Source organism: Homo sapiens, chromosome 14 (genome assembly GCF_000001405.40).
Source record: "Homo sapiens chromosome 14, GRCh38.p14 Primary Assembly".
Taxonomy (NCBI): domain Eukaryota; kingdom Metazoa; phylum Chordata; class Mammalia; order Primates; family Hominidae; genus Homo; species Homo sapiens.
The window spans coordinates 88017662-88034233 of NC_000014.9; the positions used below are offsets into that span (position 1 = coordinate 88017662).

A 16572-nucleotide genomic window follows, 5' to 3' on the forward strand; every position below is an offset into this window, starting at 1 on the left:
AAAGCAAGTCAGCATTGTTTGTGAGTCACTAGTGAGTGGAGTCTCAAAAGCCAGACACTATGGGGAAATAAAAGAACTTTTTAAACCTCTTAGGCTCCCATCTCATATCAAGAAGTAGGCCTGGCTGACTTAAAATTGGAGTTTTCTCTATGCCAGGGGGTAGTGAGAACCAATCATGATGTAAACGAAGCTTCTATTATTCAGGGAAATGAAAAAGCCTGGGCTCCTGACCGCAGTGGTCTAAGGGGAGGAGGCAAAGAAGAGTTAAAATGAGGATGTCGGAGACAAATGTTGATCCTCATGGCCTGAGATCAATAGAATTTCCAGAGTTGCCAGGATGGTCAATGCCAATAGTCTGCTTTTCCTGAAGATAGCTGCAAGCCTCTGGGGAAAACCCCATATTCAGCCTTATGCATGCACTTTACTGTGGTACAAAAATAGAGACTGGCATACAGTTGTGCAGGTTGAGTGTTGCACAAGAAATCCATGTCTAAGAGGGCACCATTCATTTAACAGACATTGAAGATTTGCACATTTATTATGTCCATTTTAAAGCATATGGCAACAAGATGCTTGCTCTAATAAAAGCAGCACGACAACTTTCCAACAACTGGAAGGAAGGTATCATAAGGAAGACACATCTTACTTTTACAGAATGCCCCATGAGCAGCATAGCCCTGCCTCTGCCCTGCTACCATAAGGTCACGTAAGCCTCTCCAACCCCGGAACCACCATGGGAGGAGCTAAGGTAAGTGGAGTATATCTGAAAGACTGAATGTTTAGCCCAGAGTAGCTGAGCTAACCTAAAAAGACAGTTTAAGCAAGAAAACGTGGTGATATCATTAATTCGCAAGTAAAATAATTTTTTGCACTGATACCCAGTAGGTTGGTAAATCAGAAAGAAGAATAAGAATAAGGAGTAGAAGAAGAAGAAGAAGAAACAGTCAGAGAAAATAAGCTACTGTTTTAGGTGCACATGCAGTTGAGTTGTTGTGTGACCACTGTCTCTCAGATGTCCCAGCTTTGACAGGAGGTGGCCTCCCTGGAAAAGAGAAGAAAACATAACTTTTAAGAAAGGATGAGTTCATGTCCTTTGCAGGGACATAGATGAAGCTGGAAACCATCATTCTCAGCAAACTAACACAAGAACAGAAAACCAAACACCACATGTTCTCACCCATAAGTGGGAGTTGAACAATGAGAACACATGGACACAGGGAGGGGAACATTACATACCGGGGCCTGTCGGGGGTTGGAGGGCTAGTGGAGGGATAGCATTAGGAGAAATACCTAATGTAGATGACGGTTTGATGGTGCAGCAAACCACCATGGCACATGTATACCTCTGTAACAAACCTGCACGTTCTGCACATGTACCCCAGAACTTAAAATATAATAATAATTTAAAAAATGATACTATCCACCTATGATCTAGAATCCAGGTTGAATATAGGTCCAATCACCTAGTGCAATGGTTCTCAAACTTTAATGTTTATAAGAATTAACTAGGAATCTTAGTTTAAAAGATTCTTATTCAATACATCTGAAGTGGGGCCTGAGATTCTACATTTCTAAGAAATTCTCAGGTAATGCCAGTGCTGCTGGGCCCTGGGTGTGGGTGTGGAGTTACATAATTTTAGAGTCTAGAGAAGAGGTTCTCAAACTTTAGTATGGATGAGAATCACCTGGAGAGCTTGTTAAGACAGAGCGCTCAGACTGTAGTCTACTCTTGTGTCATCACTGAGTCTTGGCCAATCAAAGGTGACCAACTCTTCAAACTGTGTTCAAATGATGCAAACATCAAGTAGCAACCCATCTGGTTGTTTCTGTACCTCACACCATTTTCTGTATGTCACTTTCTTTCTTCTATCTATAAATCTTCCACCATTTGGCTGTGCTGGAGTCCCTGAGCCTACTCTGGCTCAGGAGTCTGCTCAATTTGCAAATTGTTCTTTGCTCAATCCCTCATCCCCAGAGATTCTGATTCAGCAGGCCTAGGGTGGGGCCTGAGAATTTGTGTTTTTGACAAGTTCCCTGATAACACTGATGTGAGTGGGACACACTTTGAGAACTACTGCTCTCAAATAGAGTGCAGCCCTTTCCTAAGTACCTCCTATTAATTGCCATCTACCAGAAAAAAAGGTACAGTCCCACCCAGTGAAGAGATGGATCCCTCCCACCCCCAAGTTCAGGCCCAACCTGATGTTTGCTGAGACAGAAATTCTCAAGCTAAGGTCTAGGCTCAAAGACTGCAGCTAATCAGGTTTCTGGCTGTGGTCTCTAACCTGCAGAATTGAGAAGAAGCAAACTGAAAGCAGCCAGCTTTTTAAGGGATCTATGTGATCTTTCACCCCTGTCTGATCTCATCACCCAGTGGTGCAGGCCACATTTGGTTCTTATGCCATGCCTTGGCCAATGGTGTTCATATCCATCTCTTCCTCCAAGTTGAAAGCTATTTAAGAACAGAAATCATGTTTAATTCACGTCTTAATTCCCTCTGAGCCTATCCTCAGCTCCCTTCCTAGAAACTAGCAGAGTTTTACATATTCTAGATGTAACAGGAATCCTATTTAGAAGACATTAAATTGTTACATTTTCCATTCCCATATAAGTGATTGTTCTCCCAAAGGCTTTCCATCATTAAAGCCCAGTTTATTGCCCAGGAAAAAGGAGGAAAGTATCAAAATGCCACAATGCATGAAGGAAGATATTACTTGGTGATGCCCTACTGGACAGTGTTAAATCAAGTTTAGCTTAAAGCTGCCTCCTTGTGTATTTTAAGTTCAGCCTAAAGGTTTCTGTGTACATCATGAACTATAACCTAAATGGAGTTGCACTCAGACTGTAGTCTACTCTTGTGTCATCACTGAGTCTTGGACAATCAAAGGTGACCAACTGTTCAAACTGTGTTCAAATGATGCAAACATCAAGTAGCAACCCATCTGGTTGTTTCTGTACCTCACACTAGTTTCTGTATGTCACTTTCTTTCTTCTATCTATAAATCTTCCACCATGTGTCTGCACTGGAGTCCCTGAGCCTACTGTGGCTCAGGAGGCTGCTCAATTTGCAAATTGTTCTTTGCTCAATTAAACTCTGTTAAATTTAATTTGGCTAAAGTTTTTCTTTTAACAACAAAAAGATGAAGTAGATATACCTTCTGATTCTACGAAGAATCCATGAGGTACAGAAAGCGAGAGCAAGAGATAGGACATATTTCCGGATTCATATTAAGAGAGATCAGCAAGGAAACCCAGAAGCAGAGCGGCAGAGGGGACTCATGCCTTGTTTGGGGTTCAGGGAGGAGATCACCTTTTAGGGCACCCCTGCATTAGTAAAATTGCAACAGAACAGAAAAATCGACATGGTGGTATACCATGGTGGTGATACTTAAGAAGAAAAGATAACTGGGAATAGGTCCTCTGCTGTGGGATAGGGAAGGAATCCAAACATTGTCACTTGCTCCCAGAGGAAGAAGAGTATGGAAGAGAGATGAGGGCCAGTGGGCCTCCCATGGATCCCAGTGGGAGGGAAACTTGACCCCATGGCAGAGGCTGCTGGGTGGAGAACCAAGGCCCAGGGTGGATGGAGGAGGCAGCTGAGACCATGGGGAGCTGCTGCTCTAGCAAGAACCAAGACAAGGGAGTATAACTGGAGGGGACACAGTAGACCCCCAGCAGACCACCAGATCACCAATTATACTGACTGTGGTCTCAGAAGCTTCTGCCAGGGGGATGCCTAATGGACAGACAGGACATCATCTCAAAGGCCAGAGGGGACCAGAAGACAGTATGAGGAGCAGCAGGTTGACATCCTCACAGCAAAGAGGACAGGTAAGCTTTCCTCTCCATCCAGTTGCCATCTTATGGAAGACTACATCTTGTGAGAGGCACCTCTTGTGGAAAGTGCCTTCTAGTGAGTGGCTCTCCAAGACGAGAAACAGTACTAAGAGGGGCATGGAACTTAAACTTGATTGAGTCTTTATCCAGAAGACATAAACAAGTCTTTAAAAGACTATTTAAGCCAGCAGACATGGAAATATCTTCTATGCACAAATTTAGGGTTTTTATTTCCCCACCAATGGTGGGAATGAGGTTTTCAGGGCGCAATGATGATAGTTTCTTTCCCACATCTAAATGTAGTGTGCAAATATGTCACCTTTCAACTCATCAAATGCTTGGCAAATTATGCAGGATTGTGCTATTACATTGATTTTACATAAGCCTAGTTTGTTTAAGCTAAATTTTCATCAAATAAAAAACAATAGCAGAAAATAGAGCTACTGTGAACAGCCCAGAAACAGTGCCTTGGTCATTGGATAGTGGAACAATGAATGGATGAATAATGAGGAAATTAAGTACTTTTCAAAATTTTCCTTCATCTTTACTTTAAAACTCATTTGTTTTTCTGGCATCCTTTGATGAAAATAATTTTCATCAAATGGATGCCAGAGGAAAGTATCAAAAAGCCACAGTGCATGAAGGAAGATATTACTTGGTGGAAACTTGGAGGGCTTGGAAGGGTTTTTTGAGTCCCTTTCAAGGAGGATAGACATAAAGATGCAATGCTAACAATCGCAATAACTATCACCACATTTCACTTCTGGTAAACATTGAATATTTCTTTGGACATTTGGTGTGCTGATTAGATTTTAAGAGAGGTATTATGAAAATTATATAGTGTATTGGGTTAATTGGACTGAAGTGGGAAGATGGTATGAGCTCTCCTGGGAGTTATCAATAGGGCTGACCAGGGCTGGGTAGGGCCCTTATTTGTAATGATGTCTGTCCTTTATTGGGTGGACAGCAGTGCTGCAGTGAACGTGCTAGGAACAGAGAATGAGCTCACTTTGAGGCATAACTGTTCTTTCAGTTCTAGCTGACCTGGAAGATTGGCTACTGTTGATCCTTGTCCATGTTTAGCTCTAGAAAGGCATTTGAAGAACATCCAGTACAAAACCCTCATTTTATAGGTGAGGGATCTAAGCCCAATTCCAAGTCTCCCAGTTCATAAATTTTTTCTTTACTGTAGATTTTTCTGGATAAAGGTGACAACAGATCACACACACACACACACACACACACACACACAAAGATTATTGGTCCAGGGGAGAAAAGTGCAGGGACACTTTCAGGTATGGCTGAATTCAAATGCTCAACCTCTGTGGCCAGGAGGACATTTTCACCATCTCTCAGTTCCACCTTTTGCTATTTTATTTTGGCTTTTATATGATGTCAAAGATGGTTAACAGCATCTCCAGGCCCAGGTTCCACAGATTAGAAAATCCAGCGGGAAGAGAGCCTCTTTCTTGGTATCTCTGGAAAATGTAAAGGTTCCCCTGCCCTTGTTCCTTCCCATCTTTAAACTGATCACTGTGGTTAGGGGTGTATAGTTTTCTCATAAGCCAGGGCAGGGCCCCATGCCTGCCCTGGAGAGTAGGGTCGGTCCCACCATAATAACAGAGACTGTAAGGAGAAGAGAGGATCGTTTCTCAAGGGAAAATCAGGATGCTGTTACCAAACAAAGGAGAGAAAAGAGTCTGTTTCTATGACTACATCTTTCTGGGCTGTGTGGTCCAAACACACCTGTGACACCAGACATGTCCCCTACATTATTTTCCATTGAAAACGATGTTTATTTCCTTTTATACATGGTGAGAAATTGAGTTTCTTTGCATAGAGAATAGACTCCTTCAGAAATATTCATTCTGGAAGGTAATGTCAGGAAGGATCCTGGCAGGCAATGGAGAGATCACTCAAATTCAGGTATTCTGAGGAAAGTTTAGTAAAGAGATATTTACAAAGGATGGGCAGGGTACAAGGAAGCCACAAGGATGATGCGTGAACTGGGGATAAGAACATCTGGGCACCCTGAGGCCCCTGGCTCTGAGAGGGCAAGCAGAGGGGGTGGTTACCAAAGCTGGAGGCACAGAAGTCTGTCTGCAGACCCCCAGGCATAGCCAGCCTATGGCCAGGCATTAAAATGAGAACTAGGGAAAGAAACAAAAATCCATACCTGCTTCTCCTCCCTCCCTCCAACTTGCTGCAGGAATTCCCTATTGAATGAACCACCAGGAAGCCAGTGAGAAATCTCTTTGTTGTAGGTCCTAAGATCAGCCTCCCAGGGCACAACGGAAGAAGGACAAAAAGTGGGAGCAGAGAAACAAACAGGAAGTCAGTTTCTTATCTATTTTTACACTCTATTCATGGGCTCATTCAGGGAAATACCCATAAGATGTCTAAACACATGCCCTGGTCTGATTTCCAGTGGCATTGACTGCTAAACATGTATGTTAAAAATGGCCTGTGTAAACATCAAAATACATGAGACGGTGAACATATCTAACAGCAGTATCAGTGTGGTCCCTTGAGGCTTCCTCTTGATTTGGAGGCATGAGGTTTGTTTGAACTTTTGTTCTTTCATTTACAGGCTACGTGACCTTTAACAAATGAGATAACCTCTCAGAGACTGTGTCCTTGTCTTTAATAGGAGGATATTTCCCCTGCCCACCTAATGGTATCTGTTATTCAGTGCAAATGAAATATTGGATATAAAAGTATTTGAGAGTGATAAAGTACTAATGTTATATTGATCTTTTCAACCTTAAAATATGAGCATAAGAAATACAGATTAATATTTTTATGGGTATGATTTTTTGCAATGTTTATTTCAGAGTTCTACGTGGGGAAAAGAAAGAGAGATCAGACTGTTACTGTGTCTATGTAGAAAGAAGTAGACATAAGAGACTCCATTTTGTTCTGTACTAAGAGAAATTCTTCTGCCTTGAGATGCTGTTAATCTGTAACCCTAGCCCCAACCCTGTGTTTGCAGAGACATGTGCTGTGTTGACTCAAGGTTTAATGGATTTAGGGCTGTGCAGAATGTGCTTTGTTAAACAAGTGCTTGAAGGCAGTATGCTTGGTAAAAGTCATCGCCATTCTCTAATCTTGAGTACCCAGGGACACGATACACTGCGGAAGGCTGCAGGGACCTCTGCCCAGGAAAGCCAGGTATTGTCCAAGGTTTCTCCCCATGTGATAGCCTGAGATATGGCCTTGTGGGAAGGGAAAGACCTGACCGTCCCCCAGCCAGACACCCGTAAAGGGTCTGTGCTGAGGAGGATTAGTGAAAGAGGAAGGCCTCTTTGCAGTTGAGATAAGAGGAAGGCATCTGTCTCCTGCTTATCCCTGGGAATGAAATGTCTCAATGTCAAACCCGATTATACGTTCTATTTACTGAGATAGGAGGAAACCGCCTTATGGCTGGAGGTGAGATATGCTGGCGGCAATACTGCTCTTTAATGCACCGAGATGTTTGTGTACATGCACATCAAGGCACAGCACCTTTCCTTAAACTTATTTATGACACAGAGACCTTTGCTCACATGTTTTCCTGCTGACCCTCTCCCCACTGTTACCCTATTGTCCTGCCACATCCCCCTCTCCGAGATGGTAGAGATAGTGATCAATTAATACTGAGGAAACTCAAGAGACCAGGGCTGGCGCCCGTCCTCCGTATGCTGAGTGCCGGTCCCCTGGGCCCACTGTTCTTTCTCCATACTTTATCTCTGTGTCTTATTTCTTTTCTCAGTCTCTTGTCCCACCTGACGAAAAACACCCACAGGTGTGGAGGGGCTGGTCCCCTTCAGTTCTAAAGCCCACTTGGCTCATTCCACATGTGGCAGTATTTTTTTACCATGTGAACACCAAAATGAATTCGTGGCAAATGCACCTCCCGTTTATTGCAGGCTTGCATGAAGGAAATGATTTCCTATGATTCTGCTTACTGCTTAAAAAAATTAATCAAGTTTTCTGCCTGACAAGTAAGTAACTGTGTTTATTTTCTGTTCATGACTAGGCAAAAGCACATAACATCCCTATGTGTCCAGTGAGTTATGAAAGTTCTTTAAAAGCAGTGCATTAGCCATGGATCTTCCTGCTATCTCTCCCCTGCAGTTTGCTGAGAATGTTTTCCATAATAGAACCAGGCTTATCACAATTTATTCCTGCCTTACTGACTACTAGGTCATTGCCTAGAGTTCTGAACCCCGGGTTGGAAGCTGTTAAAATTTAATAAAAACTACTTTAGAGAAAATGGTCACTCTCCCTTCATCCTCTCTCACCTCCCTCTGGCTCCTTGACCCCCATCCCTCCCTGAAGATGCTGGTCGCTAAGGCTCTTTTAATAGACTTCCTTATTGTCCCAGGTTTCTGGGAATTCATCAGTGATAGCTGCCATGGGTATGTTGAGAGGATACTATATGCTGAGAACTCCACATCTGATATTTTACTTAATTTCCCCACAATATTATGAAGTAGATGTTATTTTCCCCATTGTACAATAAGAGATGGAAAGCTAGAGAGGCTAAAAGCAGAACAAGAATTTGAACCCAAATGCCTGTGACTGTAACCACCATACATATAGCCTACCTGTTTCCATGTTGTTCTAGCAGGATCCTTGTTTTCTTCCTTCTTACAGTAAAATCTGACTGATCACTGTTGAGTAACGGATCTTAATTAGGTCGAGATGCGGAAGGAGTTTGCTCCTGTAATTTCAGGAGGTCTTTGCATATACCTATTATTGCAAATAGATTTCGCTTTATTGGAAAAAGGCTATCAGTATTCCCTGGGGACTCTATTTTTACAGCTGAGACTGCTGCTCTCTATCAGTCACTATGAAGTAGAAATTCTGATTATGATATCACATAAGATTCAAGGCCACTAGTGATAAATGTTCAAGAGGAGGTGTGTTCAGCTTTGTGATACACTATTGTGATAAAAATATGGCACAGGATTTTAAAAATATGAAAATGTAAAAGGAATACAAATATGATAAATGATTATAAGTCTATGTATGGAATTTAATCTATTTTTCCTAAATGCTGACTGTAAGCGGTTTAGCCCAGTGATATAAACTGTGCCTGAGAAAGGTCCCAGTCAATTTCATGCTGTTCATGTGCCATTTATTTTTACTTTTTAAGTACATTGGGAAAATACATAAGAAAAAATGTACATTCATCTTTTTAATGATACTATAAAAGATGGTGAACAAGTTAATCGGAAGAAAAGAAAAACAATTCATCTAGACATTCTTGCAATGAATTTTTGCCAAATGCTTAATTTTTACTAGATGCTAGGAGAATTGGGAAGCCTTAAGTCTGACACAGGATCCAGAGACAAAAATTACAAAGTAGTGAGTGCTATGGTAAGAGTTAAGTAAGAAGGTTGGATAAGATGTCCACTACTAGCTCAATCTTGAAAGCGTCCAGGACACTTGCCTCTGAGACCTAAACGACTGAGTGGGCATTGATCAAGAGTGGGAGGTTGTTTCAGGGTCAGCACATGCAAAGGACAGGCTCCATTTTAGGAAAATGAAAGTAGTTCAGTGTTATTGAAGCTGATGGTGAGGGAGGAAGTGGCAGAAGATAAAGGCTGGAAAGAAACAAGTCAATAAGAAGCCACAAAAAAGTTGTAAGTAGATGAATGACATGATCCAATTTGTGCTTTAGGAAGATTACTTTTGTCTCAGTGTCCAATATAGGTGGAGGGAGGCAAAATGAGAAGCAGAGAGTTATTTGATGGTGGAAAGAGAGAGCTGTTCAAACAAACAGGCAAGATTCAGTGGAGACCTGAACTAGGCAGGTGGCATCTTGGGTTGCAAGAAATGGACAGGTACAAAAGATATTTAGAAGGACAAGAAGGTATTTTAGTTGGATGACGTACATTTCAAAGGAACAAGGAAGAAGAATGGTCTGGGAATAGTATTGGTGAGCCAGGAGTCTTCATTTGAGTGGGCTGCAGGGAAAGTTGTGTCCTCAGAAGATGCCACATTTCAGTTATGGTACAATGGGAGGGAACATTCACTGTGGCAGTGGAATCACCAGAGGGCCACAAGTGGATCAGATTGGGAAGTGGGATAATATTCCAGCCTGAATTAGATTGTACAATCCCAGGGAGCAGGAATGAGGAAGGAAAGGGAGTAGAATAGAGAAAAAGGGGGAGTAATATGAGGATGCATTATAGGTCTAACTGCTTCCAGGTATGACTGATTGCTCAATCCCATAGGACCATCTTCTAAGAAGTTGTAATAATTTAATCACAGAGAAAAGTGAAGAATTTAGCCACTGGCTGCAGCCTCCAATTGGTCAAAGGTTTGTCTCACAGAGCATGAACCTCCCTGCACCTCCATATAACACATATTTGAGTGCAACAGGGTTCTTATATAAGTATCATCAGGGTGGCCCCAGGGAAGGAGGTGAGAAGTTGCAATAATGTCAGGTTGCGCTTGCATGCAAGTGATCAGAATATACCCTAAGAGCAAGTTATCTCAGTGGCAGCTTGAATGAAATCGGTGAGCCAAAGCATATAAATTAGCACATAAAAGGTGCATAATACAGTCCACCTTCTGCACTATTCAGGGCCACTTTCCCCCATCATTATATCCAAATTGCATACTACAATATAGGCCCCCATTTTTGTGAGAATAAGTTGTCCTTATCTATTCTACAAGAGAGGAAGCACTCGTCCAATCTGTCACAAGGTCCCCTTCAAGGGAATGGTCCACCAGAGTCTGATTGAGGATAAGTAAGACAAACTTCTGTTCCATAGCTGAACCTGGATCTGAAGTCATAAGTTATATTTATCTCCAACCTCTTCCAGCAATTCTATATTTCCCTCACTATGGGCCAGCACATTAGCTATCTGTGTTGGTCTCCCGGTGGGATGACACAAACATTCATCGTTGAGAGGCTTGAACCTTTATTTGCCTTATCCTTTTTGGGCCATAGTTGTTGCAATACAATTACGCATCAGCTTTTGACAATACAATTATGTAAGTACAATACAAACTATGTACAAATCTGTTATCGCTGGACACAGGAGCACCAAGAGATACCCTTGTGAAACCCTTGGGTTCCAGATGTGTTTCTTCTTGTCCTCACTGGTAACAGCAACTCTAGCTATTCAGCAGAGTCAGGGGCTATTACTTTTAATGATGTGCTAACTATTTATTCCCTGCTGGCCCATAAGCATGAGGAGTTCAACTGATATTTTCAGCTTCAAATTCAGGGGACCCTTACATTTTATCTGGCAGAATTATTCTCTTTCCCATCCACAGTCACAATTAAGATTTCTAATCCAATAGAGGCTAAAGTTGCAAGATGGAAGATAGTAAACACAAATTCCGTAATCACTTGGTTCCCAGTTTTATATAATTGAGCTACTGGGGATTCAAAACCATATATTGGTCATTGGCTTAATGTATATGCCATATCCTGGAAGATCACATTCAACCCTGCTAGATGTTGTCCCCAAGCTGGGATCTTAATGAACCTTTAATATGATTTCTACCATTCTCTTAGGATGGCTGCTTCTGGGTGATGGGGAACAAGGAACAATTATTAGATTCTGTTTCATGCACTCATTACCTTGATTCTTATAAAACAGTTCCCTTGGTGTGTGGCAATGCTGTGTGAAATATGTGTTGATAAGTCAAGCATTCTAAAAACTTTTGGATGGTAAGCCAGTGGAGGTACTACAGACAAGGAGGGCAAACCCAGGGTCTATTCACATTAAGGATCAATTCCTACAAGGACAAATTTCTGTCCTCCCCAACCCCCAGGGTAGAAGATGTCTAATTGTAATCTACCTGATACCAAGAGACTGGCTGATCTCCTCAATCTCTGCTGTTGACAAATTGAGCATTCAAGACTACCATTAGCTAGACTAGAAGGAATTCATGCAAACCTTTATCTCTGCCATGAGACCACCCTTTTCTTGGGCTCACTGTCCAGCATAGAAGCAGTCAATGAGAGAGAGATGAAGTGACATACATGATGAGGTAGCCTTCCCCACTGGTTGCTGAGAGAACTGTTGGTGGTAGATGTTCTCTGGTAGGTAGTAATAGCTGCAAAATTTGTGTCCATTTTTATAGGTCAATCTATATGCCTCATCCTGTGACATCATCATTCCCCAGTTTTCTATTTGATTCCTTCCAGACTCCTCACCAGTTATTCATGTCAAGTGGATGACAAATTTACTGCTCACCACTTTCCCGCTGGCTAATTTACTTTAACCGCTGCTCTTTAGAGATACCACTGAGTGGATCTATAATATGTCAGCAGTGTATTTTTGACTAGCATCTGTTGACACACTTGTGAGCCAGGCATGAAGTTTTTTTTCAATCTTCTATCAGTTGGTCATAGGGAATCCCCTATAAGCCATAAGTGCAAGATGAGATAAAAGGTATCAGAGTGATAGAAACAGATGACATGCAAATTTGTGCCACCTCTTTGTGCAATTTACTCTTGCCTTTTGGACCTGCCTCAGTCCCATTTCCAGGCACGACATTCCATAATGTAGATTGCTGCTGTGGCTAACCCAATCTATGATTTAGTGGATTTAATCATACACAGTTGGCTGTAGTTCAGATATTTGCTCCTTTCAAATCTCATCTTGAAATTTGATTTCCAATGTTGGAGGTGGGCCCTAGTGGGAGGTGTTTGGCCCACGAGGAGTGGATCCCACATGAATAGCTTGGTACCACTCTCATTAGTGAGTGAGTTCTTGCTCTTTTAGTTTCAATGACAGCTGCTTTTTAAAGAGTCTGGCACCTCTACTTCTCTCTCTCTCTCCTTCTCTCTCTCTCTCTCTTACTTCCTCTCTTGCCATGTGATCTCTGCACATACTGGCTCCCCTTAGCCTTCCACCATGAGTGGAAGTAGCCTGGGCCCCTCTGCAGAAACAGAAGCTAGCACCATGTTTCTTGTACAGTTTGCAGAACAGTGAGACAAATAAATTTCTTTCCTTTATAAATTACTCAGCCTCAGCTATTCCTTTATAGCAATACTAAATGGACTCAGAAACAGCTCACACTTGGTGTCTTGTGATGTTATAATTAGGCATTCAATCTCTACAAATATCCGGTAGCAGGCCAGGAGCTGCAAAAGAAATTGCAGTCTGCAAAAGCCAGATAACTCTTTGTCAACTTTGAAGGAGATTCTCATTTCCTACAATTCCTTCATCATGGAGAGCTCTATCACGATTACATCTATTGAGTTTTATAGTTCAATAGTCTGGCTCTGCAGAAGGCTCCTGCAGAGCCTTCTGTTAACTATGGCCCAGGAAAAACTTCCATATCTCCCAGAATATAGACCAAAGCAGTATTTTTAAATGCAGTCTATTCTTCCACCAAAATTCAAAAAGGCTCACCAAGCAGTGTACCTCTTTCTTAGTGGTAGGAGTTGCAAGTAGAACAATGTGTTTATTTCTTTGTAAGAATGTCCTAGCATATTCTGGATTGCTGGATATCTACTAAGTTGACCAATATCATGGGAACCTGAACTTCATTGGGTTTATCACCTACCCTCTGATATGCATGTATCTTACTGGGTCACCTAGGGTATTAACATTTCCAATAACCATGACATCATCAATACAGTAGACAAGTGTTATACCATGACGTTCTGCAGAAGGCTAAGATGATGGAAATACCTAGCTATTATGTTGTGACAGGGAACAGGATAGTTAACACAAGAGTGAGTATGTAGAGTTGCCCCTCTAAATGTAAAGTCAAATTCCTTTTGATCATTTTTGCTGATGGAAATCTAGTCAACAAACATTTTCTGTAAAGGGTCATACAATAAATATTTTTAGCCACGTGGTTCTGTTATAATTATTCAACTCTGCTTTTGTAGTCTGTGGTCATATTTGGCCCATGAGCTGTAGTTTGCCTACCCCTGACTTAAAAACAAAGTGTTTTCCAGATTAGTAGCTGCATATAAAACGCCAAAGACCATGTTGATCTTTTTCATGAAAGGTACCACATTTTGTCTCCAATGACCCATATGTTTTTTTCAGGATACACATAAACCAACTGAATAGGGATATGATGAGACCACCACACCTTCATCCTTTAAATCTTTAATGTGTAATAAAGATTTACACATTAAAAGAATTACACATTGTGTAATTCCTTTTAGGATGCAGATTGCTTCTTATTTACCATATAGGGCATGGATGTGTACATAGGGGTGTGTGTGTGTGTGCACGCATTTGTGTATATGTAGGAGGAGAAGGAATTGCAGAAATTTCAGGGGTTTCCACAGAGCCCTTGCTACCATGATGGCCCTTAATCTACAAGTCGGAGAAACAATGGGAGGGTTCTGCCAGATGCTTAAAATAACTGTGTATTTGGAGACTAGAAAAATAACTGAGAATTTTTGTCCTTGCGATTGAACAATGAGAACACATGGGCACAGGAAGTGGAACATCACACACCGGGGACAGTTGTGGGGTGGGGGGAGGGGGGAGGGATAGCATTAGGAGATATACCTAATGATAAATGATGAGTTAATGGGTGCAGCACACCAACATGGCACATGTATACATATGTAACAAACCTGCACGTTGTGCACATGTACCCTAAAACTTAAAGTATAATAATAAAAAAAAAGAAAAATAACTGAGATAAACTTGAGCTAACATTTCATTTATCACCTAGCTTCCATATACCCACTCTAACTGGAATTCCATGATGAAGACTTGAGTCCACTAGCATCGGAAAACTCGGATCCCATATTTAACAGTGCTCAAAAACAAATATACGTACTGCCTTCCCCAGTGTACAATAGTCTATCAATGGCCACAGGTCCCTTTTGGGAAGGATTACAAGGAATATTTCATATTTATATATATTTTTTCAATAGCATTGCAATGTTATTCCTTAAGGGAACTCAGTCTCCTTTTCAATTAGTGGGTTCTAGGTCTACAAAATAACTTAAATTTTGAAACTGGAAGAAAGACTACAGATTTCATTGCGGTGACTGATGTTAACACTTCTATTCTGTAGTTCTCCATTTTTTAAAATAAAATAGTGCAAGTCAGCAATCCTTGTCAGCAGTCTAGCTATCTCACACCTAAGAACACCATGGTCTATTAGCCAACACCAAAGATCCCCATTAGGGCATTTTGATTGACAGCCTGACCTTAGTGCTCATTATAGACATTATGTCCACCATGTTTCTTATAGTTCAACTATCAGAATCCCAAGCTCTGCCACTCTGGAATCCTGTCATCCCTGCTGATAATATACAGCCCAATTTAATGGCAGCATCTCCAACCCTCAGTCCTTTTACAAAGACAATTTCCATTAAACTTCTAAACAATTGTCTGTACCCTCTGACCACCGCATTCCTTATTTCTTTGGTTAATGGAAGATATTCTGTGTTCCCTCAATGAACACAGCCGGGTGATATGTTTTTAGATGTTACATAATAAATTAATTCTTTTTTTTAATTATTATTATACTTTTAAGTTTTAGGGTACATGTGCACATTGTGCAGGTTAGTTACATATGTATAGATGTGACATGCTGGTGCGCTGCACCCACTAACTCGTCATCTAGCATTAGGTATATCTCCCAATGCTATCCCTCCCCCCTCCCCCACCCCACAACAGTCCCCAGAGTGTGATATTCCCCTTCCTGTGTCCATGTGATCTCATTGTTCAATTCCCACCTATGAGTAAGAATATGCGGTGTTTGGTTTTTTGTTCTTGCAATAGTTTACTGAGAATGATGATTTCCAATTTCATCCATGTCCCTACAAAGGACATGAACTCATCATTTTTTATGGCTGCATAGTATTCCATGGTGTATATGTGCCACATTTTCTTAATCCAGTCTATCATTGTTGGACATTTGGGTTGGTTCCAAGTCTTTGCTATCGTGAATAATGCCGCAATAAACATACGTGTGCATGTGTTACATAATAAATTAATTCTAACAGCCCCATCTTTAGGATCCTTCTGATCCTTTCTTCAATACTATACATCAAGAAAGTCCTAGCATCTCTACCTCATTTACTGAAGGCCATCATCCTGTATAAGCTTAAAGAATCCATCCAAACAGATTTTCAGAATCATCTTGAGATATTTCCAAAGCATTGAAATCCAAGTGATGAATGAGCTCTCCCTTGCTGAAAATGCTCCCTACGCAGCCTTATATCTGTCTTCCCACTCCAGGCCAATGCTCTCTAGATCTACTTCCACATGTGTTCCAGGTCCTGAAAATCCTTTTCAGTATAGACTATTCCTCCTGGGGCAGAGGTTGTACTTCCCTGATCAGACTGTGCTGAGACCTGACTCTGGTCATTGGCCTGAAACTAATGAGAATTGGATCTGGAAGAGAACTAGTGCCATATTGCAAAGCACCTGCCTTAAGTGGTGTCATTTCATTGCCTCCAGAAAAGGGGAGACTGTTCCCCTCAGGCAAGTTGGAATCAGTTGCTTCTGCCATCCTGGGGAGTTCAGGGTCATCTCGGAGTTCAGAACTCTCAGGATAATATACCCAAATATTCCTAATACAAGTTAGGGGTCCCACTCTTTTCCCATCAGGGCAATAACTTTGACAGATGAGATCTGTTGGGGCTATGCCTTGAGTCACCTGTGCAGCTCTGCTACACTGAAAACTAGATGCTGGGCCTGCTTTTCAGCAGTCTGCAGGAAATAAGAGTCTCCTTCAAAGTTGCCATAGAACACTTTGACTTTTTAAGGGTGTCTTTACTTGGCAGTTGGCTGT

The 16572-nt window shown here is 41.5% G+C and overlaps 2 long non-coding RNA genes across 2 annotated transcripts in view; one reads left to right on the plus strand and one right to left on the minus strand.

Annotated features, from left to right (window-relative positions):
• Positions 1–943: 943 nt before the first annotated feature.
• Positions 944–8651, minus strand: LINC01147 (long intergenic non-protein coding RNA 1147). Its single transcript, NR_110121.1, has 3 exons — positions 8427–8651; positions 6014–6115; positions 944–1042 (listed from the first exon to the last, which is right to left on the minus strand). It is a non-coding gene; the product is annotated as a long intergenic non-protein coding RNA 1147 (long non-coding RNA).
• HISLA (HIF1A stabilizing long noncoding RNA) overlaps positions 6889–16572 on the plus strand; it is a 62797-nt gene continuing 53113 nt past the window's right edge. Inside the window, exons 1-2 of the long non-coding RNA NR_046094.1 lie at positions 6889–7008; positions 7746–7820. This is a non-coding gene — a long non-coding RNA (HIF1A stabilizing long noncoding RNA). The remainder of the gene's footprint in view (positions 7009–7745; positions 7821–16572) is intronic.